The sequence below is a fragment of the Homo sapiens genome, chromosome 13 (assembly GCF_000001405.40).
Source record: "Homo sapiens chromosome 13, GRCh38.p14 Primary Assembly".
NCBI classification, from domain to species: Eukaryota; Metazoa; Chordata; class Mammalia; order Primates; family Hominidae; genus Homo; species Homo sapiens.
The window spans coordinates 57651768-57676915 of record NC_000013.11 but is presented as its reverse complement, the minus strand read 5'-3'; the positions used below and the strand labels follow the sequence as shown (position 1 = coordinate 57676915).

At 33.1% G+C, this 25148-nt stretch overlaps 1 protein-coding gene across 4 annotated transcripts in view; it reads right to left on the bottom strand.

Moving 5' to 3' along the window:
* Nucleotides 1–25148, bottom strand: part of PCDH17 (protocadherin 17) — a 99204-nt gene that overhangs the window by 52396 nt on the left and 21660 nt on the right. For 3 of the 4 annotated variants that reach the window (XM_005266357.3, NM_001040429.3, XM_017020547.2), the window contains 2 exons: nt 10390–10448; nt 10083–10255 (listed from right to left, as the gene is read on the bottom strand). In XM_005266357.3, the coding sequence (XP_005266414.1) occupies nt 10083–10255; nt 10390–10448 (232 nt within the window). The remainder of the gene's footprint in view (nt 1–10082; nt 10256–10389; nt 10449–25148) is intronic. The other variant, XM_047430276.1, reaches the window with a different exon arrangement.

Sequence of the window (25148 nt, the reverse complement as noted above, 5' to 3'; positions counted from 1 at the left end):
TCACATATTTGGGACTGCCCTCAGGACTAGTTTGTGAATCATAAAATACAACCAGCTCAGTATATTTTATTTTAAATAGAAACAGCAGTATTCAACCAATATATTGTCATAATTTGGCTATCAATTATACTTGGCTGGAAATGAAATGTAAAAACTGTGGGATTCAGTGAAATATCTCATCTAGGGGTCTCTAGATTTTGGATTCCCACAGAACATACTGAGTATTTTTCTTGGCAGGCTGAACTATTACTGACCTCTTCCTCTTCCTAGCTTCTTAACGTTGTGTTCTATGGGATTCTGTTATGAACCCTATTATCTTTTCTCCCAATATTCTTTCTCATTAATTTACTTGGATTTAAGTATGCTTCTATGCCAATAACTTGCAAGTTTATACCTCCTGACCTCTCTGATTGCCAAACTGTAATTGCCAGTTGCCTCTTCTGATACTTCCATACGGGTGCCTCAGACATTTCTAACATGTCTAAATCTAAACTCTTCTTTATAAAGCCCAAATGTTGTTCCTGCAGTGACCTCACCCTGTCTTCACCACCTTAGTAAACTGCACTACTGTTTAGGCAGCTACTGAAGTCACAATCCTATGATACAATAACACATCAAGTTTTATACTACCTAATTGTTTTCTGAAGGTTTTCTCAAAGATCTGGTTAACTGAAGTTGTTTTTTTGTTTTTTTCCTAGCATCTCTGGAAAAAAATTTCAAATGTTCCACATTACTGAGTCAATTCTAATAAACATATAAGCATCAGACATTAAGAGATAATTAACACATACATAACATTAAAACTTAATTAAGGCATTAAATAATTCAATTAATATTCCATTTAGTTAGACATTAAGTCATTTTTTTCCTTTAGAATTTCTTATCCCAAAAACTAATTTCAAGTAAAATACTAAGCAATCCATTATCATTATAAAAGTAGTGGCATATATCAAAACAAGTTTTTAATCGCTTACTTTGTTCATTCCTCCTACCTCTTCACTACTCTGGGCCTCATTTTCTCTTGCCTTGGACTACTTCCCAAGCTTCCTAATTTATTCCTCTCTCCCAACACATTGCCAGAAACATCATCTCTTTAAAATGCAAGTTTGCAATGTTACCTCCTGAGCACCCCTAATGGCTCTCTATCAGGCTTTGCATCACTGGGCTTCCAGCCACCTCCCTAGTCTCATATCTGCCATTCCTAGTCTCACACATCGCTACTCATCTGCACCTCACAGCAACTTGCCATACACTGGTTCACGTCATCTGTGCTTCTGAGTGTTTCCTGTCATCCTCCCTCCTCTGACTTTACTCTGCCAAGTGTGCAGAAGGGTCTGCTCAAATGTTTCTTACTCCACAAATTCTCTTTGATTCCCTAAATCTGGGCTGGGTTTTCATTCTACATGAATTTTGTGGACATGTCTTACTGCACTGACCTCATAGTTTATATGTCAGATTCTCTTATGACAGTGTGAGCTCCCTGAAAACCCAGTCTGTGCCTCAGCTCATCTTTGTATTCCGTGGTATACCTGTTTATTTTAAAACAGTGAATGAATAAATGAATGAGTTAAAAGCTTTCCTGTTTCCATGATTCCTTACAACACTAAGGAAAGAATCAATGAGCAACAAATAAGAGAAATAGAGATATTGTGCACAGACTGACAAAATATATACATCCTAGTGTTTGGTGATAGCACAGTAGTGTCAGTGGGTACGTCTGGATTGAGACATTTTAGCGCTTTCATTCAATATATGTTAAAGGATCAAGAATCAAGCTCTCAAAAATGACCACTTACATCTTCAGATTTCCTTCAGGTAAGGAAATAAATGGTGCTGCTACAGATATGATGTGCCTATTTGGAGACTTTGAAGTCTCTATTGTGTGTTACGGGAATGGCTTGGTAGGATGGAAAGAGTCCTACAGTGGAAAACCACAAACCTGGAACTAGTATTGCCTTTGCCACTAACCTGAAGACTCAATGGAAACTGTCTGTTTTCTTATAAAATGGAGGCGTTATATTTCAAGGTTTCTTCTCACCATAATGTTTTGTAATATGGCTTTTAAAAGAACAGAGGACTTCTAATATTGGAACATGCTCTCAAAATGAAATAAGAGAAAATTTCTGGGGAATGTTTTAGACCTATTAAATTAACAAAATTATTTCCTTAAGTTCTTAACTAACTAATGCTGATAACTAGTCTGAATTTTAATAGTGTACGGGCACCCTCCTAGTTCCATAAAAGCGTACTTAATAATAGTGCATGATTTTTCTTAATAAAAAATAAAAAAGGTGGGCACAGTGGCTCTAACTGGTGACCCCAGCACTTTGGGAGGCTGAAGCGGAAGAATTACTTGAAGCCAGGAGTTCAAGAGCAGCCTGGCCAATGAAACAAGACCCCATACCTATAAATAAATTTGAAAAATTAGCCAGGTATAGTGGTGTGTGTGTCTGTAGTCCTACTTTGAAGGCTGAGGTAGGAGGATCACTTGAGCCCAGGAGATCAAGGCTGCAATGAGCTGTGATTGCAATATTGCACTCCAGCATGGGCAACAGAACGAGACCCTGTCTCTAGAAAGAAATAAAATGAAATAAAAAATAAAACAAAATATTGTCATTATAATAAAACTAAAAAAAGGACTTTTTTATGTTGATATGTTGAGATATTTACTTGAAAGATACAATAATTATAAGGCAGGAGAGGGCTTTTAGGACATTTGGAAATATAGTCCCAGCATTCCCTAATTTTAGCAAAAGCAAGAGATTCTCAAAATCACATGAGTCCGTAGTAAATCATGCAACACTTGTTAGGAGGCTTTACAATGTGCAACAAATATGAGAATCATAAAATCTCTCTATTTTCATGATACCAGCTGCTGGATTCTAGAAGCAGATGTTTGCACATGTGAAAAATATATTGAAACTTTTAAAGTTAGGTAAACTGTGGGGGCAGTTGCAAACTTTGGTAAGCAAAAATAAACTGAAGCTGCATACAATTTGGGAAACACTTTATCCAGAAAACATAAACCGAGATGAATTTTGAAAGTCTTGAAAGACAGCACAGGGGGGTGGGAAAATTGACACTGAGAAGCTATTAGATAAATGCATTCTAGTAAAACCTTACAGGGCTTGAAAATAATTGGAAGTCCTGGCAAATACTGCAGTTTCTTAGATGCCATCTATGTGAAAACAACAGTGTCCTTAAACATTTCTAAGTAATTTTTTTTTCTGGTGTTAAATATTCAACAGTTTCTTCCTGTCCCCCATATATGACAGTAATTTTCTATTTCCTTCCTAAGACAAATTTACTATTAATAAGCTTGCAGCAGCATTTCTTTTAAAAATTGTTTTCAGAGACTGGCATATGGCCACTACAAGGAGGGACTCAGTCATCACCTTCATGTTCTTGGTTACGTGGAAGTGGTTTTTTGGCAGGCCAGGTCTCACTAACAGCTGAACAGCAGGCCTCTGTGACAAATGTTTCAGCACTGATTGAGTGGTTAGGTTAAATATTAAAAGCTGAAAGAGCCAGTGCCCCTAAACAAAGGCTGGAATGTAACAAAAGCCCATCAAGTCTTGAGTAGGCCTTTCCTGGGCCTTAAAGCATAGCAAGATAACAAAGGAATTCTTAACAGGACACGTTTAGGATTAAACAGGTTTTACTGGGGGTCTGAAGAAACTTCCCAGACCTCCACAAACAAGTTTTATTGGAGGATCTAAAGGAACTTCCCAAACCTCCATGATTTAGCAGGAGACAAGATGAGGGTAATCACCCCCGGCACCTGGACCCATTTAGATTAAGTACATTTACTGAGGCTCCAGAGGAAGGTCTTCAGGACTCAGACCTTAGTTATAGATTAGAAGAAGTTAATCACTTATGTCTTTAGACAAATGCACACTTACACATAGATGTATAGCTTAGAGGTTATATAAGCTCTGGAAAACTTTGTAATTTAGACTTGGTCTGGTGATACTTTCCCAGCCTTCTCCCTATACCCGGTTACAGAAGTAAACTCTCTTCTTTCCCAGTTAGTCTGCATCTTGCTATTGGGCCACAGGAATAAGCATCTCGACCCTCTCTTTGGTTTGGGAAAAGTTTGGCTGTTGTCTGTTATGGGAAGGTCTGGGAAAAGATCTCGACTGCTTAATTGGAAGAGTCAGAACTACAGTAACCATTCCACAGACTAGAACACAGAAAGAAACAGTTCTACTACTTTTCTATTTAGTGTCAGTTATAGGGAAGATTGTAAAGTAACTGGTTTGTGGTCAGCACCTTAAACCTCTAGCTCACTAACTTCACACAATCTGAATGTGTGGTTCCACACATTCGTCCCCAGGTGGGCACGAGCCTCAACTTCTATTTCCTTGCTATAGCTTTCTTAAATAGTTCCTTCATGGTAAAATACAGGTTGTGGAAAGTTTCTTAATCGGTTTCATTTCCAAACATAATTAGAAATATGATGAACTTTCAGTCATTATATGGGGAATTAGAAAGGGAGAGTTGAGGGAGTGAAACTCAGAGCCTCCCCCACCCTTACCTCTAGGCAACTGCGAAATTACATAACAAATACTGCCCTCATTTAAACTAGCCTAAGCCTATTTTGATTAAGGTGCCCCCAAGCAAAATTCAAATACTAACTTAAAGAAACAAACAAATATTTATTAGCTTTACTTTCTGTGATTTTCTAGAATGTTCTAGGAAGGAAAAAAAGGCCATCCTTAAGGAAGAAATTTAGTTTTAGAACTGGAATTCACTAAAACAAACCAAAGATATTTGATATTCCTATTACTGGCAACTTTTCATGGATTTTAAAAATTGGATTTGAATCAGGAATTTCATTATGAAATTTTAAAACTCAATGTAATTTAAGAAGACAGATTTTCTAACAGTAGAGGCAGGAGAAGGAAGCCATAGAATTAAATAGAAAACTAGAAATTACAAGGCAATTAAATAAAATGAAAAAATGAGAAAGAATTAGAATGGTAATCCCTGGGAAGCAGAGAAGTCCTTGAATCCAGTCACCGGGAAGGGACTGACGGCCGGCCACCCAAAAGGGTGATGTTAGAATTGGTGATGATCCCACCGCCACTTCTGGCACAGGTTGCAACAGAATTCTCCTGTACAATTCTATTTCAAGGAGTTGGTTTCAGTCAATTATAAAGATAGCAGAAAGCTGATAATCCTTGGAAAATTGGGAACTATCACTTAGCCATCATTAAGGAGCTCAGAGAAATTGCTGGTAAGCACTTATAAGGACTGTACATTTATTAGTTAGAAATCAATGGAGACTATTAAATTTTAGAAAATGCTTATTAAATCTTTTCATGAAGAAAAAGTTATTGCTAACAATCAAAATAATTTACAGGGCTTCTAATGGATAGAAATTCAAAGATACAGTACTTACTTAAAGAAGCTAAAGTGTGAATAATATTCTGAGGCTTAAGAAAACATTAGCTTCATAAACTCTTAAAAAAGTTTTATTATTTATAAAACTATAGGTAGCTCTTCTTTACAGAACTAATACTATATTTATTTTCATTAGGTCTTGATATAAATCAGTTTATCTTCTTCCAAAATATAAAATCATTAAAAAAAAGGATCAGATATATTTTTCTCAATATTCCATGGTTTTCTTTTCCCATTTTTAAAATAAACAATAATTTATTAGGTAAAAATACATATTTACCTTTTTATTAAGTAATATCCTATTATGGTACTATACAACTTCCAAAATATTTGGAATTTTTTAATCTACCTTCCTACCTACTATATTTTATAAAGGATGAAAGGGGGGTATGGAGAAAATCTAATTAACTATTTGAAAACTAGGGCACAAACATGCAATAAAATGGAAAGAAACTAGATACATTCTTTGATTTTTTTCCCATCACACTAAAAGAAAAAATAACCTCTTTCTACTAACGGGTTTATTAACATTACATCCTTAAAGCTGTCTTCAGCTCTAGTACAGTACATCACACCTTCAATTAGCTGCTGAATTCTTTTAAATTATTTTGCCAAAATAGTGGGCAATACATTACTTTTGCGATGTATTTGGAATTAAACTAATGGTAGCAAAAATACACAAATATCAGGAACGGAACAAATAGAAAAAATTTCACTGCACAGAAGATGAGAAAGTAATATTTGAGCTAATAAAATAAAATCTCAAAAGGCCTAAGTCATTTCCAAAGGAAAACCATTATTAACAAAGAAAGTATTGAAAATGTGAAGATTATTTTTGAAATTGATTTTCATTTCTAAATTAAAGAAATATTTCAATTTAAATATAAAACATTATTTTTCTAAAATGAGATCATTTAAATTGGAAAAAATATATATATTTTTAAATTATATTCTAATATAAAAATATAAAATATAATATGCTACTGAATTTTAATTGAAATCTGTGTAAGGCACTGCTACACATTTTTAGTAAGAGAAAAAGACTGAGAAACACATCTCCTTTCATTTAGCTCTAGTTTTTTCTCGTAAGAGAAAATTTACTTTTGTTTTTTAGGGTAATTTTGAAACTATTAAAATTAGGGTTTAATATTTGAAATCTACATGAAATAATTATTTGGATATGGCTGTCATCATCTCTCATCTATAAAGGAAGTTGTTATTTATATGTGTGCTTGACTTAATTGTGGAATTTTCTCTCATGATGTTTTTCAAATAGAATAAATAAATACATTGATCAAGACAATAGCTGCTTGCTTGTTTAACATTTTAACATTATTTCTGAGTAAACTACTCATTACGTGAATAGCATAAAACATTGTTTGAAAGGGCAGGCTTTGAATGTATTTTTTAAATTTCTATACTGCCTTCACTACTTATAACTACAGAATATTAAAAAAAGTTGCTTAATAGTTACTTAATATCTACTGAATGTGAGAGTAACAGTACTTTCCTACCTATAAATGCCATGAGAATTAAATAGGGTAATATGTTTCAGGTACTGAACAAAATACAGTAGTTCAATCAATGCATATGAGATATTTTGATCTTCTCCCCCTTGGTTTGCACACATTAACTGGTTTTTACTTACTCTGATGTTTATTCAATATATTCTCATAGCAATGAGTCAAAATGGTTATTTGAGCAAAGTCTCTCATTTGGAGACAAGGTTGTGTAGAAAATAGAAAAGTTAGAGCCATATCCAGACCTAGGATTAAACTCCAACCTGCTGTGCCAGTTAATAAACTTCGAGTTAGCTTATTTTTTATATGTAAGATAAAAATAAAAACTTTTTAGAGTTTGCAGGTTAAACAACCTAATGTTGAAATTGTTTGCACTGTTTATGGTAAGTGGTAAGAACTCAATAAATTGTAGTCTCCTCCTCTAAATCTAGATGAACAGATACAAACATAGATAGTTGAAAGACAGACTGACAGATAGATAAAATAGTTGACATAGACAAAAAAGATAGATAAAGAGATATATAGATGAGAAGTAGACAAAGAAATATAGGAGGACAGAAGACACAGAAAGATGAGAGGAGAGAAAGCAAAGGAGGGGAACATGAAGAGGGGGAAGGGGAGAAATAGAGAGAGAGAGATCACCCATCTGTAATTAGTTCCATATGATTACTTAAAGGCAGGCTCTAATTCAAATTCATTTTTGACATTCCTGAATGATCTAACGTTTCCTTACATATTCAAAGCACTTACTAGATATTTATTAAATGAATGAATAAATCAAATCAATGGATCAATCAATCAGTGAAATATTATTTTAACTAACTTTAAAAAATGTAGGGACATGGATGAAGCTGGAAACCATCATTCTCAGCAAACTATCGAAAGGACAAAAAACCAAACACCGCATGTTCTCACTCATAGGTGGGAATTGAACAATGAGAACACTGGGACACAGGAAGGGGAACATCACACACGGGGCCTGTTGTGGGGTGGGGGGAGCGGGGAGAGATAGCATTAGGAGATGTAACTAATGTAAATGACGAGTTAATGGGTACAGCACACCAACATGGCACTTGCATACATATGTAACAAACCTGCACGTTGTGCACATGTACCCTAGAACTTAAAGTATAATAAAAATATATATATATAAATCATGCTTTAAAGTGGAAGCCAGTCTTTTACACATAATTCATAAATTATTTAAGTGTATCTTCTAGATTCAAAATAATTTTCCTGTATTTACTAATAGGGATGTGTGGCATTCTTACTCTTAGACTAGCAATTATTTCCTGCGCAATATTATTTAAAATTTATGCCATCTTTGGCATTTTTTAAATAATAATAGCCACCTTCCCTAGACTTCAATTTTCAATATCAAAATTGAAAAAATAGCTTTTTAGTATAAATTGCATTTTCATACTTAATAAATAAGACCACTTCCTTTCTCTATAAGAGAATATACATAAAATTCACTTCTGTCAAATACATTTCTAAGTTAGTGGTTGGCATGAAATTAAACAGTTAATGTGAACAGCAGTTTTTTCTTGTTGCTGTTTTTGTTGGTTTGCTCTCTTTTTAAAAAATTAACAGAGTTTCTCATAAAGATACAAAAAACTCTTCACTTACTTTAGGCATTTTCATAAGTAGTAGCCAATCAATTATCTATCAATCATTTTATGTGTCATTCACATAGATGGGTCTATCTCATGCAGTGTATTTACATATCAAGTTTCAACAAGCCATTATTGAAAATGTATCTCAAAGATTCATATGTTTTATAAAATCACAGAGCTACAACCCATCATGACCATTTAAGTCACGTCAAGTAAACATATAAATTTTCAGAAAATGGGAATAATAAATAAGGATTCACATTGCTTTTGTTAAAAATAATTTTTAAAACAATATTGCACTATTAACACAGAAAGTTGCTATGGTAAAAGATCGTGAAAAAAGTCATCGGTCTAGCAATTACTACTTAGAAAACAGCTTTTTCTGAGGTCAACCTTAAAATAAATTCAGCATAATTATATTTATTCCAAAAATATTAATATATATTTAAACTGAATATATATTAATTTTGTTTTAAAAAATATATATAAATAAGTATATATAAACATATATGTATATACTTATATATATGGGTATATTAATATTTGCATTAAACATTTTAACGACTAGAAAACTTAACACTGTATCTGTTGAGGTATATATATAATAGAACAGGCTGCCCTACAGGCAAAAATTAACTTTCTATAAATCATTAATCAGTAAATGACTTAGAGGTTAGGTTCACATATTTTAAATGTAGTTTCTCATTCAAAACAACTGAAATAATAAGTCTAAATATATTTACATACTACTAATGTTCTGAAGACTGTTACTATATCAACTACAGTTCTTTTCACTTTTTACAATAGGACATAAAAAACCTATTCACAGTTTTTAGTCTTATACATAAGAGTAATTTAATTTACTTTGGATGAATCATTAGCAAACATTTTATTGTATTTGAAACAACAAAAACATTAAAATTAATAAAAAGTCATGAGATGAATAAATTAGAGATAAAATTTTACAAAAATATATGTATTTAAGACACATTGCTTTATTACCCATTTGATATTCATGAAGCCTTAGATGTAAATCAAAAGAAAGCCAAAACTCTGGTTTACCTATGACTCTTGAAAAACTATTTTGAAGCTAAAATCCAAACAAAAAATAAATCAACAAGCACTGCTAAGAGCTATAAAATTCCAATGATTTCATTTTATCTAAAAAGTGTTGAATTTACTAATTTTTATACTGTAAATTCATAAATATACATATCTAGCTAATATATGCCATATTTTCCTTGTTAGTATAACCCCAAATAGGAAAGGGTGGGAAATGTCTATGAAATAAGAACAATCAAGTGACTTTGGTCAAGTTCTTGTTTTAGGATTAATGAATGATACCCAGGGCCTTCGTTTTTCGTTTTTGACTGTGTTATTCAATGGTTGCTTTTTTTCTGGGGCAACCTCAAGATTTGCTGTTTCTTTGATATATTATAAATGGTCCATTCCACTGTGATAAACTGCAACTCTAGATCTAATAGGTTTATAATGACTGCTTAAGCTTTACACTTTGTAAGCATTGGAAGACTTCACTCACCTTGTTCAAGTGGTTGGCTTTTAGTTGAAGTAGTTTTCATCTTGAGTGCCTCCCTAACAGACATGTCACAGCAGGAGCCTTTGTTAGTGTCTTGGTCACTGTCAGCCTGATCACTGTCCCCGTGCCCACTGTCTCTCAGGCTGGCTCTTTCTGGGTCCTTAAACGTGGAGCTACTGAAATACATATAAAGAAAAAGAAGAGAAAGTGTTGTCTCTACTAGTTTGAATCTGAAGTGTAGTCTCTTGCAAAGCAATTTTGACACGAATGCAAATGGGGAAGCTGAGAAAAGTTATTTAATAGGCCTTACCTTTGAACAAACTGCTGCCTGCTGCCCATGTAATTGGGCTCTGCGGGAAAATTGTCTGTCTGTGAAAGAGAAGGAAAAAAATACGTATAGTTGTACACTGGACAAATCTCCTGCAGAGCAACAAGATTTCCTAGTGGAAAAATGATTAATAATTCAAAAATTCCCTTAATCTTCAGATTTGTACATTTTAATTAAATTGGAAATTGCTGACATGTAATTATGTACTCAGAACAATTAAATGATTCCGGTCCACAAATTACCTGTTAAAGTAAACAATGAGCCTGTCATAACTGGCATTCTCTTTTAGTACCAGGATGGATAACACTGGCTGTGTTGTTTCATTACTTAGATATTAAGATTGAATATTTGTGGGAGGAGTGGGAAAATAACCTAATTTCTCCATATTAAAAGTGTGAATTATTTAATAATACTCATTTTTAAACATAATTACATCATCTACTGGGATTCTATGTGTTTCTTGATGTAATATCATTTAAAGTCATCCACTCCTCAATTAAGAGATGCAGGGCCTTTCCTTCCAATTTTGCCAGTAATGGATACAAGCATCTCACATATGGTTGAACTCATTGCTATAATTCATTCTCAGCTACAACCCAACTATGGAAATTATGTTCAAACAATCCAGTCGGAATGGATTTCTATTTTACTTCCTAGTTATTAAAAACAAAGCAAAACAAAAATAAGAGAGAAAAAAATGTTACTTAAAACGTGAGCATAAAGACATTGAGAAACCAGGCTTGTTTTTGCGGTTGTTTTTACTGCTTCCAAACTGACATGGAGGTCTGCCAAAAAGAACTGAATTCTCCTTGTATCATGGAACAGAGTCTTTTGGGAGAAAGAGACTGGATCTTTCATAGATTTCCCTATACTGTACATTCATACACATTACTTCTTCTTGCAGCTGACTCAGTGACAAAGCTTCTCCTGTTTCCTGCATCACTTCATATCACGGCATTATACTCTGAAGCAGCTATGGGTTCCTACAAGATTATCCAGCACACAAGTATCAGTGACACAGGGATCATGCAATTCATGAAACAGAGGGCCCAAGGTAAGACTTAATGTAGTGCAATATGTGCTTTCCTTATTAATAAGGCTAATTTAAAATAAGATATTCTTTTTTTCTTCTTCCCATATAATAATATAAAGCATTTGAATTTGTGAGCGATTACTGAAAAAAGAAAAAGGCATATTAAGAATGATAGTTTAAAGTATTGATAAGTAATATAAAGTATTGATACATTAAAGAATGATAGTTTATTTGATATCATTAAAGAATGATAGTTTAAAGTAATATGTGTCATTGTCAAGTTTGGGGACAGAAACCCCCCCCACAAATTTCTTAATATATAACCTTTTTTGGTTTGTCCAAATGACATTTATCAAAGTACACGCAAAGATGAAGTGAAGCATTGGAAAACTTCACTCACCTGCATGTCAAAGTACATGCAAAGATGAAGTGAAAAAGGTGGATTCATTGCTCACTCCTAACCGTCTTTTACTAGCAGTTGGTAGCAGACACTTTCTATTTATATATTGTAGTAATTTCTAGATTCAGTGAAGCATCTTACTTTTTGTTTCCATAATGACAAAATATCAGTTTTTAAGGATAACTTGATTTTCTAGTAAAGTTAATAGCAGTAGTCAACACCAGTGGCAAAAATGTTTCCAAAAATATTTTGAAAAATTTTTAAACTATAATTACTTAGTCACTTCACATTTTAATTTAATAAAAACTAGTTCATCCTTTGAATTGATCAAACACATGTATCTATTCCATTATTGCTGTCAGTTGAAAGCTAAAAATAAGTGTTTTAGAACACTTCAAGAAAACAAAATCCAGGTTATTAAAGAGACAATAAAATTTACTGTGAAATCAGAAACTCTAGTTAAAAAATGTAAGCACTATTATAAGTAGTCTTGTGATTTTAATGGTTTTAATTAAGTGGAGCCTCATAGGATGTGGATCCCTATTCGTTTAGACACAAGGAAATAGTCTGGGGAAACTTTTTTTCTCTTGTCCTGATAGGAACAGTATCTAGAAATATTTGCATATTATTAAAGTTCTAAGCATTTCTAATTAAATAAGAAACATAAGCTAAGAAATGAAATCATATTTCCATTGAATGAAGAGCTATTAAAATTATATGTACACACACATGTATTTATGCATGAGCATTTGATGAACTCTGGGCAACGGTACTGCAGCCAAATATTGGTCTGATGAAGATAGAAAAACAAGAGGAAAGGAGAAAAGAACGGTGTTTGGGAGAGAACAAGAGAAAATAGGAAAGCCAAAGAAAGGCCAGGTGGAGTGTCTCATGCCAGTAATCCCAGCACTTTGGGAGGTGGAGGCAGGAGGATCACTTGAGCTCAGGAGTTCGAGACCAGCCCTGTCAATGTATTGAGACCCCATCTTGATAAAAATAGTAATAAAATTAGCCAGGTGTGGTGGCGCCCACCTGTCCCAGCTGCTCAGGAGGCTGAGACTGAGAATCACTTGAGCCCAGGATGTCGAGGCTACAGTGAGCTGTGACAGCACCACTGCACTCCAGCCTGGTCAACCTGTCTCAAAAACAAAAATAAATAAACAAACAAACAGAAATCTGAGGAATAGCAAGAGAAAAGCACAGAGAAAGAAAGTGGGAGAGAGAAATGAAAAGATACAGGAACGAGGAGGAAGCAGGGTGAGAGGAGTGAAAAGAAATGTAGAAAAAAGAAGTTGGTTTCTAATTATAGAATTTCACAAAGTACAATTTTAAAAGTTTGCAATTCAATCACTAGCAGAGTATCAGAAGTTTACTAATAATGTCTGAACTCATTGATTAAAGTAGATAGGAATGAGAGATTGTGTGTGTGTATAATTACCATAACGTAATAGCCATTTGGCCTTTAACAAACATATAACTAATTGACTACATTTTCATTATCTAGACTCCAAGGGTCTCTGAAAATTCATTTAAAATAATCTGAATATAAAATAACAGTATTTGCATAGAAAAATGAAAAATAGAGAAAAAAGCCATATGTATGACAGCACCATTTAATTAGAAGTATAAGAGTATTCAGATATTTTACAACACTATACTCTAAAAATTGAGTTTTACCTTTTCCATTTATAATTCATAAATTTTAAGTCTTGGAAGAGGGTAGAATTTGAGGTCAGACATTTGTACATTTTAGGACTCAGCAGAGTAATTAAACACGAATATTTACAATGCTTGAAAACCTTATCTTTCATGCAAACTAATCACTAGTGTTCTCTTCAAACTCAACTTGAACACAGTGACTTTTATATGATAAATATATAAACATGATGATTTGTTTATCATTAAAAATATCACATGTACCTACAATTGGTGGGTAGCTACATAAATGTTTTCAAGTAGGTATTTTAAAAACTATATGATGATCTATTTAAAAATCTACAAAAAATCAATAATACATGAGACAAAAAAATCACTTTTTTAAAAAAAGTGATTATTTGATCATAACAAAACAGATGTGAACTAACATCATACTGAATGTACTCTCCTATCTTTTTCGTTTTCTTTCTTTGTGTGTTAAAGGTAATAAAAAATTAGATATTCTTTACTTTCCTTTGTGGAGAAAATAAACAGGAAAATAAACAAGTGAGCAAGCAAGCAAACAGAGTGGATAAAGTTGGCAGAATATGAATTCTCTGATTATTTGTCTTTTTTCTTTACTAGTGATCAGCAAACTGTGGTACATTTATAAATGATATTAAAAATCAACATTTTTATCAGCAATATTCAGTAATAAACTATTCCTAAGGATATGCAATCTTCTACAACTTGATGTCTGATTCAAATTATTGTAATTCTTAAAAAACTTGTCTGAAAAAGGTCAAAAGAAAGCATGTAGTGAAACTGAGTCATGCTAGCTGAGACTAGGAAAGCTCTCTGTTTGTGGAAGTAGGTTATTTTGATATGGCCACTTACATGTCCTTAAGTTCCTCTGAGAGGAGTAAAAACAATACACTTATAATAGCGCCTATCAATTAATTGTTCAACAAATATTTTTTAAAATGTATAGGATCTGTATGCTGAACATTATAAAAAAATGAAATAAATTTAAAGGGCCTAAATAAATGGAGAGATATATGTTTATGGATTGGAAGACAATTTGGATCCCCAAATAATGTATGCATGTAACATAATTCCATGCAAATTCTCAGAAAAATTTTCTGTGTATTTAAACAAGATGATTCTTAAATTAATATGTGATAGGAGATGAACTATAATAGCCAAAACAATTTTTTAAAAGATAAATCAATTTCTGAAGAAATTACACTACTCTCTTTTAAGACTTACTGTTGGGCCCAGTATGGTGGCTCATGCCTGTAATCCCAGTACTTTGGGAGGGTAAGGTGGGTGGATCACTTGAGGCCAGGAGTTCGAGACCAGCCTGGTCAACATGGTGAAAAATCCCTTGTCTACTAAAAGAAAAATACAAAAATTAACTGGGTTTCAAGGCACATGCCTGTAATCCCAGCTACTTGGGTGGCTGAGGCACGAGAATCGCTTGAATCCAGGAGGCGGAGGTTTCAGTGAGCTCAATCTGCACTCCAGATTGAGCAACAGAGTGAGACTCTGTCTCAAAAAACAACGACAACAACAAAAAGACTTACTATTGAAGCCACACTAATGAAGACTGCAGTATTGCCAAACGAGTGAATACATATGACAATGGAACAGAAGACTGTCCAGAAGCAGACCCACACAAATATGAACAGTTGATGTTTAACAAAGTTGAAAAGACGATTCAATATATAATTCAGTAGAAATGAACCTTGATCTATACCTTACACATTAGACACACACACATACACATACACATTCTCTTTTTCTCTCTCTCTCTTTCTCTCCCTCAAACATGGAACATAGACCTAAATGTAAATCGTAAAACTAAAAATATTCAGTAGAAAACTTAGCAGAAAATCTTTGTGAAAGGGCACTACACAGTGGTTAGACAATATCAAAGCATGATCCACAGAAGAAAAAGTTGGAGTTTATGAAATTAGAAATGTTGATTTTGCAAAGAAACTGTTAAGAGAATTTAAAAACAAGCTACAGCCCTTGAGAGAACATCTATAATGTTGCATGCAGACTGTATAACGAACTGTCAAAACTAAGAAAACAAACAAACAAACAAACACTTGAAAGGCTTAACACTAAATCATATAGAATATATTGATGGTACAAAAGCACATGAAGAGAGATTTACTATAAGCTGCAATTAGGAAAATGAAAATCACAATTACAATAAAATGACACTATATATTTATTAGATTATATGAAATTTAAAAACTTAACAATACTAATGCTGATGAGGATGTGGAACAACTGGAATTCTCATAAATTTAGGTGAAAATGCAAAATGGTACACCTACCCTGGAAAACAACCTGGCCATTTCTTACGTCAAACATAAATCTATCATATGACCCAGCAATCCTACTTCTAGGGATATACCCTAAAAAAATGAAAAGTATGTTCACACAAAATTCTGTATGTTTGCCCCAAACTGGAATCAGCCTAGGTATCTTTCAAAAGGTGAACAGACAGACCATCATACATATTCATACATAAGTGTAATAAAATACCATTTAGCAATGAAAAAATGGACTACTGTTGTAACAACCCGAATGAATCTCAAAAGCTTTATGTTGAGTGAAAAAAGTCAATCTTTAAAAATTGCATACTGTATCATTCAATTTATAAGACTAGTCATTTAAAAAAGGCAAAGCTATTATGGCACAGAACAAATCCGTGGTTGCTAGGGGTGAAAGGTGAGGGAAAGTATGATAGAGAGAGATAGCATAAGGAAGCTTTTAAAGTGATAGAACTGTTCAGTATCTTGCTTGTTTCATGAAACTACACATGTATGAACAGTCATAGAACTATACACCTCAAAAAAGGTTCACATTACTGTAATTAATTTTAAAAGCAAATGGTAATACCAAAATATACCTAATATGATTATCTGCATCACATATATGCTGAGGATTCTTCTGTCTCATAAAATAATTATAATAAAAGTTATTTTTTTAATATTCTCAACAAAGAGTGTTTCTGAACTTGTCTTTTAAAATGATACTGAGCCAATTTCTGAAACCTATGTAGATATTTAATATTTATTTGGACAGAATACAAATGAATTTGGATATAAATATCTATTTAATCACACCATCAAATCCAAGCAACAGATCCATAGCTCAAATTTATTTAATTTTATTTTTTGAGACAGGGTCTCATTTTGTCATCAGGCTGGAGTGCAGTGGGGTGATCGTGGCTCACTGCAGCCTGAACCTCCCAGGTTCAAATGATCTTCCTGCCTCAGCCGCGCAAGTAATTGGAACTACAAGGGTGCGCCAACATGGCGGCTATCTTTCTTTTTTCTTTTTTCTTCTTTAGTATAGACGGGGTTTTGCCAAGTTGCCCTAGTCTCGAACTCGAACTCATGAGCTCAAAGGATCCACCCGACTCGGCCTCCCAAAGTGCTAAGATTACAGGCATAAGCCACCGAACCCAGCCTTCAAATTTTATTTCTTCCAAAGAATTTTTTTCTTGTGTGTATCTCTGATTTACCCAGCCATAAAATAAATACTTTACATAAAAATTTCAAACTGCACTTGTTGCAAAGTAGTAGCTTCTCTTTTGAACACAGGAAAGAAACATGGCTAGATCGTGGAGGACTGGGCTCTGTCTTCAGAAACGGTGAATTGTTTTAATTTTCAAAATGGCTCATAAAACTGTTTCTACCTTTAGAAGTAAGTTAACACCATACTTTGTAAAAACTTAAAAAACATGTAATACAAAACGGTTAGCCTCTGAAATGTACCAAAATGTATGCAAAATATTGTCAAAATAATTTTACAATTTTGGCAGCAAAATTAAGATAATATAAGAGTATTCAAAATGTGGGGTTTTAAGTTTATACGAGATAATGTATGCAAATTTCTTAGTTTATAATACAATTCTCATTATAAGTTTTTAATTTTTAAATTGTGCAGCACAGTAATGATATGAAATAATGGTAACTGGATGAGTGTATGGTAAATTTTAATGCAACACTTGGATTTCTATAAAATTAGACACCTGTGGGATGAGAAAAATAAAGACCTCATTATTTTAAGTCTAATTTCTAATGAATTTCTAAGAAAAAAATCAGAACACTAGTCTTCAAATGTATCCCTGCAAAAGGAAGAGAAGAATAATGTGAGCAGTAGGAAACTGTATTCTATGGTCAGTTTTTCACCATCAAACATACCATTTAAGTAAATGCTGCTAGAATTCAATCTGGGATTAATTTACACATACTCTGATAATTATATATGTGAGTGTGTGTGTATACACACACACACACACACACACACACACAATATAAATAACCTTGGTGCTAATTAGCCAATATTATGCTACCCATTATAGATAGAGTCATGAGATATTCAGGAAATTTCCTATGAAAGGAACAATTCTGACACACCATAGAACTCTGACATTTCCAGAATGATTGGTGCGGAGACACAGGAGGCAATGGATTATAAACTGCTAGCATTCTTTTGTAATTTTAGTAGAGATGGCGGCTGAGGCAGGGGAATCGCTTGCACCCAGGAGGCGGAGGTTGAGGTGAGCAGAGATTGCACCATTGCACTCCAGCCTGGGCGACACAGCAAGAATCCGCCTCAAAACAAAACAAAACAAAACAAAACAAAACAAACAAACGAAAAACCCGTTAGCATTCTTGAAGTCCTCTTGGCTTTCTCTATCTCTTTACCAAACTGGAGACCTTTAAGTCAGAGTCTACCACTCAGCCCAATGGATGCATTCATTTCACAGATGTACATTTAGCTCAGAACATAGGCAGTCCCAAATCCAGCATCAACAATGTAAGATTCACAATATCCAAGATTCAATCAGGAATTACAGGGCATGCAATAAGCCAGGAAAATATAACCTAGACCTGGGAGAAAAATCAATAAAAACAGACTCAGGGATGAGTGATGATAGGATTAACTAATAGGACCTTTAAAAATCGATCAGAAATATTAAAAATATGTTCAGGAATGTAAAAGCAGGACGTGGAGAGTGTCTCCTTAAATCTTGTGCCTTAACTACCTCCCTTGCCTCACGTTAATTTTGATCCTGAAAGAGAGAAATAGAAGATATAAAAAAAGATTCAAACGAAACATCTAAAAATAAAAGCTGTAGTATTTTAAAGTAAAAATACACACACTGGATGGGACTGGAAGCAGATTAGAGACTAAGGAAGAAAAGATGTAGCATTTTTTCAGCAAGTTCTAGAAACATTTGCCTCAATAATCTAAATAGATAATACTTAAATTTATTTTTTGCATTATCTGTATAGGCTTTATATGTTTGTGTCAACATTATTTTTATACATTTTAAATATATTATAAAGATACGTATTTCAAATACAAAGTGATCTTCCACTGTTTGAAATATAAAGACGAAGACATTTTTAATTCTAGGTGTATTAATCTAGAATAATTGTAAGTATGTCTTTGACTTTTTGAAGTCATTAAGAGAGCAACTCAGCTCTTAAAATCTAATTTGGGGTTGGATGTGTAGTGAACAGAACAACATTTTGTCTAAAAATAAATGATTCTAGATATGGTGTTAAATCGTATAATTATAAAATCAGCCAAATTTATATTTTCAGTGTTTTCCTAATCCAGGGGTACACAGAAATAAAATTTTGAAAAATACCCTTGAATTAGGGACAGAAGTTTGTTTGTCTACCTTGATACCATTGCGTTGAAAACTAAACAAAACAAATTTTTGCCTTAATTCAAAGCCACTGCTTTTCACATTGATAACAAGCATTCTGTTTGCAGTAGACTGAACACAAGGGAGTGTTAAGAGGTGAATAATTCACTTTAAGCCTTTTCGTACCGACATTGCTTCTGATAGCTTTGCCTTCCACAGAATATATGGTGTGGTTCTTTCTACATTGCTGAAGTAGGCAACGGCATTTTAAGCCACCACTCATAAAGTTATCTGACAGCACCTATGGCTGTGGAATTTTTAAAGTGTATGAAGTATGGCAATAACTGTATTTATCAGTGGTTTTCAAAATAATACATTTTATACAAGTATAGTGTGGTTGACATTTGTGTTTTGCTACTAAAGGCGTAATAAAAACATTGGGTATTCTTACAATATTGAGCAAAAACCAGCATTCCTTTAAATTAAAAATGAGAGGACAGGAACAGCCACATCCTGTAAGTAAGAATTTTTAAGTCTGCTGCTCAATGAGGATGACTTAGATTTTTTTCTTAAAGTAATCTGGGTATATATTAAGATCTCTTGCAAATGCTAACTCTTTGAAATGACATTGATAACTTTAATAATAACTGATGTGCCAGCATTTAATTATGTAATTTATGAATCTCGAAAAAAGTTATCTTTGACAAGAACAAAGAAAACTGAGATTATCAAAAAGTTAAAATTAAATTAAGATGAGCGCTATTTGTTATCTATGAAAGCGCATAAAATAGAGACTGCCATACATTCCTGTTATATATTTGCTGTATTGCGAATCCCAGGGCCAACTGAGATGCCACTAAATACTGGATGTGCCATGAGGACAGAAATTAAAACATACTTAAAGACTGCTAACTCCAACATCCTCAAATCACCCATTCTCTTCTGTGTTGTCAGCCTCTTCATCTCAGCCCTATTCAAAACTTAGTCTTCCCTTTTTATTCCAGAGGCAGTGTAGGAGTAAATTTGAAGTTCTTTTCTGTTTTTTGCTATCTCTCAGCCAGACTTATCTCTGGAGACATTCCTCTGCTTTCTTCCTCCCGTGCTCTTTTTCCATCTCTGTTAAGAATACTGAAGACTTTTCCCACTGAAAGAAATATCTAAAACTGGATTCTCTGCAATAGGGCCTCCAGGACGAAGAATTCAAAGGTTATATGTGGCCAGTGAAAATTCATTACATTTCTGAAATAGCTTCTTCTAATATTCTCGGTATATAAAGACAAAGGAAGAGAATAAAGAAAGGAAGATAAATTGGTGATATTACTTATTATTGCTAAGAATTCTGAGTCTTATGGTAGATACATTTTCTTAAAATTAGATATAATTAAATTTAAGAAACCTGCTAATAAGCGAAAATACATTTTTACAAATTAAATTTTTATGATCAAGCTGGTTTTTAGCCTAATTTATTTAGCTACTATGGACATGCTTGGAAACTATAATGCATTGAGTCTAAATGCATGTTTATAATGTCACTAATTAAATTCTGCACTGGGAGATTTGGAGTACAGTGTCTTGTATTAGGATCTACAAAACAGTATTACTGTAGTGATGTTTATTATTCATTCTTCTCAATTGCCCTAGGAGATAAAGTGGAGGCATTGTTTACATTTTTTTTCAAACAAAGAAACTGTAGCTAAGTGACTTTCATAGATTTGTCCATCATATACCCAATTTATTATAGAACAATGACACTTGCCAGAGCCTGCCAGCACCAGTCGGTTGCTGTACTGCCTCTCTGAGATAATGGAGAAAAATAATGAACCATTCCAATATTTTTGGAAATAAGTTGATGAGAAATTAATGTAACTTTCCTTGAAAATTTTTTTACAATTACTGTTACATAATAAATAAAACTAGAACTACTATCCCCCTTAATACCAAGATGGTTCTTTGAAAGAATCTGTACTTCTACATTTCTATACCTTCATGTTATTGTTTTAATGTGTTTTATTGTTTAATGTTTAATGTGCTTTATATATAACTCTGACAACTAGATTTTTCTTTGATCGATAACATTAAAAGGCAATCATGGCCATTTATTATCAAATATTCTAATGCATGCAGGAGGTTTAATCATATGATTACTTACCATCATTATACTCATATAAATTGTCAAACTAGGCACCTATGAATACCTACCTTTTTAAATGCAAAAGAAATTTAATATGTTACTTTTTTCCCATCATTATGTAAAATTCCCACACACAAACAAAATAACTAATTTAAAAGGTGATCCAAACATATAACAGACTACAAGTCTGTTATATATTTCCATCAATTTATTTTTTCACAATACACTAAAATAAGAAACTTTATGAATACAATAATTTTGGTAAACAAAATTCACCATTCTTACATCTCAAAATATTAAATCATCAATTAGAAGATAAATCAATTATTATTTAGATAATGTTACATTTGACAAATGAAATTAAAAATATCAACAAATTTAGTTGTCTCTCTGTTTTGCATTATTCTTTCAACTGTCACCTTTGTAGGTGCATTTTAACTCCTAATAGAAAAAACAAAATAAAATGAAGTTCAAGATGAAATGGACTGACACAATGCCTATTGTTTTTCTTTTAACTCTTGATAGGCATAAATAATTTTTACTTTTTTATGACTATAAACAACAAGTCAGTCCAGTAGCTAATCAGCCAACATATTTTATAATAATTAATAAATAGTTTGGGTAAATTTTGAAATCCCCAACCTTCTACATAGCTTCAAAGATAATTTACCAATTCCATCCAAAAACATAATGAAAGACAACCTCTGACATGACCATTACATAGGAAAAGATATTTCCAAATTTGAGGAAAAAAATAATTATTAATCAAATTAATGAGTATTAGATTTCTATGATAGTTATCATTTTCTGAAATATAAGAATATATACCACATTTAAAATGTATGACTCAATGGAAATAGTCTATTTTAGGTAGACATTTATACCTCAAATTAAAATAAAGTGTCTTTACTAGTGTCAATATACTTTTAATTAAACATTAGCACAAGATGAAGTGAAATCTCTGTACTCTTTATCAGACTGTCACATAATATCAAATTCAAGCATCTCCAATTTTTTCTTTGCTTAAAGATTTTAATTTCAAGAATTTTCTCCTCTAGTGAAACAAGCAATCTTACTTAATGACGATCATTTCATGAGACAATAGGTCTGCATTCTTTTATATCTAGTTTTAAAATAACAATCATTTTGATTTTGTTAGAAACTTTTTATAATCTACATGGTGCAATTTTTACAGGCACACACACACAAATGAAAAAAAAAACTTAAGAAATATCAATAACAGTCATGCTTTACAACAATGGTTGTCTCATGGCCCATTATCTGTTTTTGAAAATAAAGTTTTATTGGAACTCAGCCATGTCCCATTCATTTGCATGTTTTCTATGGCTGCCTTCCTGCTTCAATGGCAGAGTACAGTATTTGTGACAGAGAATTTCATGAACCACAAAGTTTAAAATATTTACTATCTGGCCCTTAACAGAAAAAGTTGTTGACTCCTTACTTAGAAAATCTAGGTCTAGGTTCTTAACCATATAATTAACATTTTTACTCTGCACATTCCTGCAGATAAAATATTAAAGATGAATTTTTATGTATGCACTATGCTTAATTAGGTCATAGTTTAGAAAAAACACAAATCATTTTCTTTCTCTGTAGGACACAGACCTCCCTCACAAGATGTACATGTGGAAAGCACCTGATTGAAAAACTGTTCATATTTCTTTTAAGTGGACTGCAGTGTTAGGTGATTTGCAGTGTGTTTATACTCAATTCCAAACTACTTAAAACTGCGGAAACAGTACCGCCATGGGAACACCTGAAAACAAAATGCATTTCGACACATGAAGCTTCCTAAAGCATATTATAAATTCCTCTAGAGTGTACTTAGTGTAAGAGTAAATACCGGTTCTTTCCAGCAACATTGCTCTTCAGCTCTTGTTTACTTCAAAGAATTCACCCTTATACCCAGAACTTACTCCTTTGTATCGCATACTTCCTCACCTATTTTATAGGATGATCTCACCACTATATTACACCTTCAAATCTCTTTCCTTTTAACCTCACTTCTATAGGTCCATTATAATTATTTCTTTTTTGTGGATGGGGAAACTAAGTCCTATGAAATTTATGAAAGGCTAGTGGAGGTTTCAATATGAGTAAGTATTATGAACAAGTTTCTTTTGACTCAAATTTTGCACTCTTTCAAGTACTGTATGATTCATCTAGCTTTTCTGTGTATTGTGCTTTCTATTCTACTCTATTTATCATTGTCACATCTATTTTACAGATTTATTATTCTCATTCTAATTAACACTCCCTACAGTTTCTAATACGAGGTCATACCCCCTGGAATGGCTTTCTTCCTAACTATTCAGCTCTGAATTAGATTAAACACAAAGAAAAGCAATGAAATCTACTGGACCATTTTGACTAGAATAAAATAATAATCAGAGCCAGTTCTATGATTAAATCTGAGAATTGATTTAACTAAATAAATTTAATAAAATTAAATAAATTTAACATTAAATCTGAGATTAAATCCATGAGAATCCTGGGCTGCTCTATAGTATCCAAAATTTGTGAATACTTTTACTACACAAGACAAAGCTAGAGAACCTCTTGAAACTACTGCCAGGTTCCTATTTGAAAGACCCTGTGGCAATGTGTTATACATAGGTCACAGCATAGATTTTAATGTTTAACGTGTAGAAGCCTTAAAGAATTCTCCTCCAAAGTGACCTGCAATCTAGGAACCAAGTTGCAGTACTTTATAGCAGCAGTTATTTATACTATATAAATTTCTCAAACTCTATAGATACCTCAATATGATAAATGCATGCTAATCATGAGATCCCGGTGGTATAAGAGCAAGAACTCTAAACTTTGAACCAGATGACATTAGTTCTGTATTCCTAGCTGGCTGTAAATACATGAATGAAATCTCTGTATTTCAGTTTTCTTGTAAGAAAAGAAGTATAAATGGAATCAGAAGCAATTGTACGCATCCAAATTTCTAATATTCACTATCCTACAACAGTTCTTTTGTAGAAACTTCTCTTCATTTTCTCCTTGGTACAAGCTTTCCTTCCTAAAAGGCCTCTCTCCATAAAAAAGAAGTCACAATTTATATAGAAGACTTAACATCTTTCTACTTTAGAGTTTACTTTGTTATTTTAAGAAATTTACAATATCTAGAAACCGATTTTGGAAAATCCTCTACCAAAAGTTTGTCACTCTTAAAATCATCTAACAAAAATTAACCAAAAGTGACCAAGCCTGGTTTAGAGGGTGCAAAATGAAATTTGTAGTAAAATTAATTAGTACTCCAGTAAAACTACCTTTTTATAGTCGTAAGTGTTCTTTTTTTTTTTTTTTTTTGAGACGGAGTCTCGCTCTGTCGCCCAGGCCGGACTGCGGACTGCAGTGGCGCAATCTCGGCTCACTGCAAGCTCCGCTTCCCGGGTTCACGCCATTCTCCTGCCTCAGCCTCCCGAGTAGGTGGGACTACAGGCGCCCGCCACCGCGCCCGGCTAATTTTTTGTATTTTTAGTAGAGACGGGGTTTCACCTTGTTAGCCAGGATGGTCTCGATCTCCTGACCTCATGATCCACCCGCCTCAGCCTCCCAAAGTGCTGGGATTACAGGCGTGAGCCACCGCGCCCGGCCCGTAAGTGTTCTTAAATAAAACTCTGTTCTTATGCAACTGCTTATATTTAGGCCAAGTGAAATATTGTTTTTATAGAGAATATGTTTGCAAATCAGTACCCTAAAGTTTAACTGCACCAGAATGTTTTATGTAATTTGCTTTTAACAACAATAATAATATGTGTTAATATGTATTTAGTATTTATCATATTCTTTATACAAATAATTACATTTTATCTTTAATTCTTAC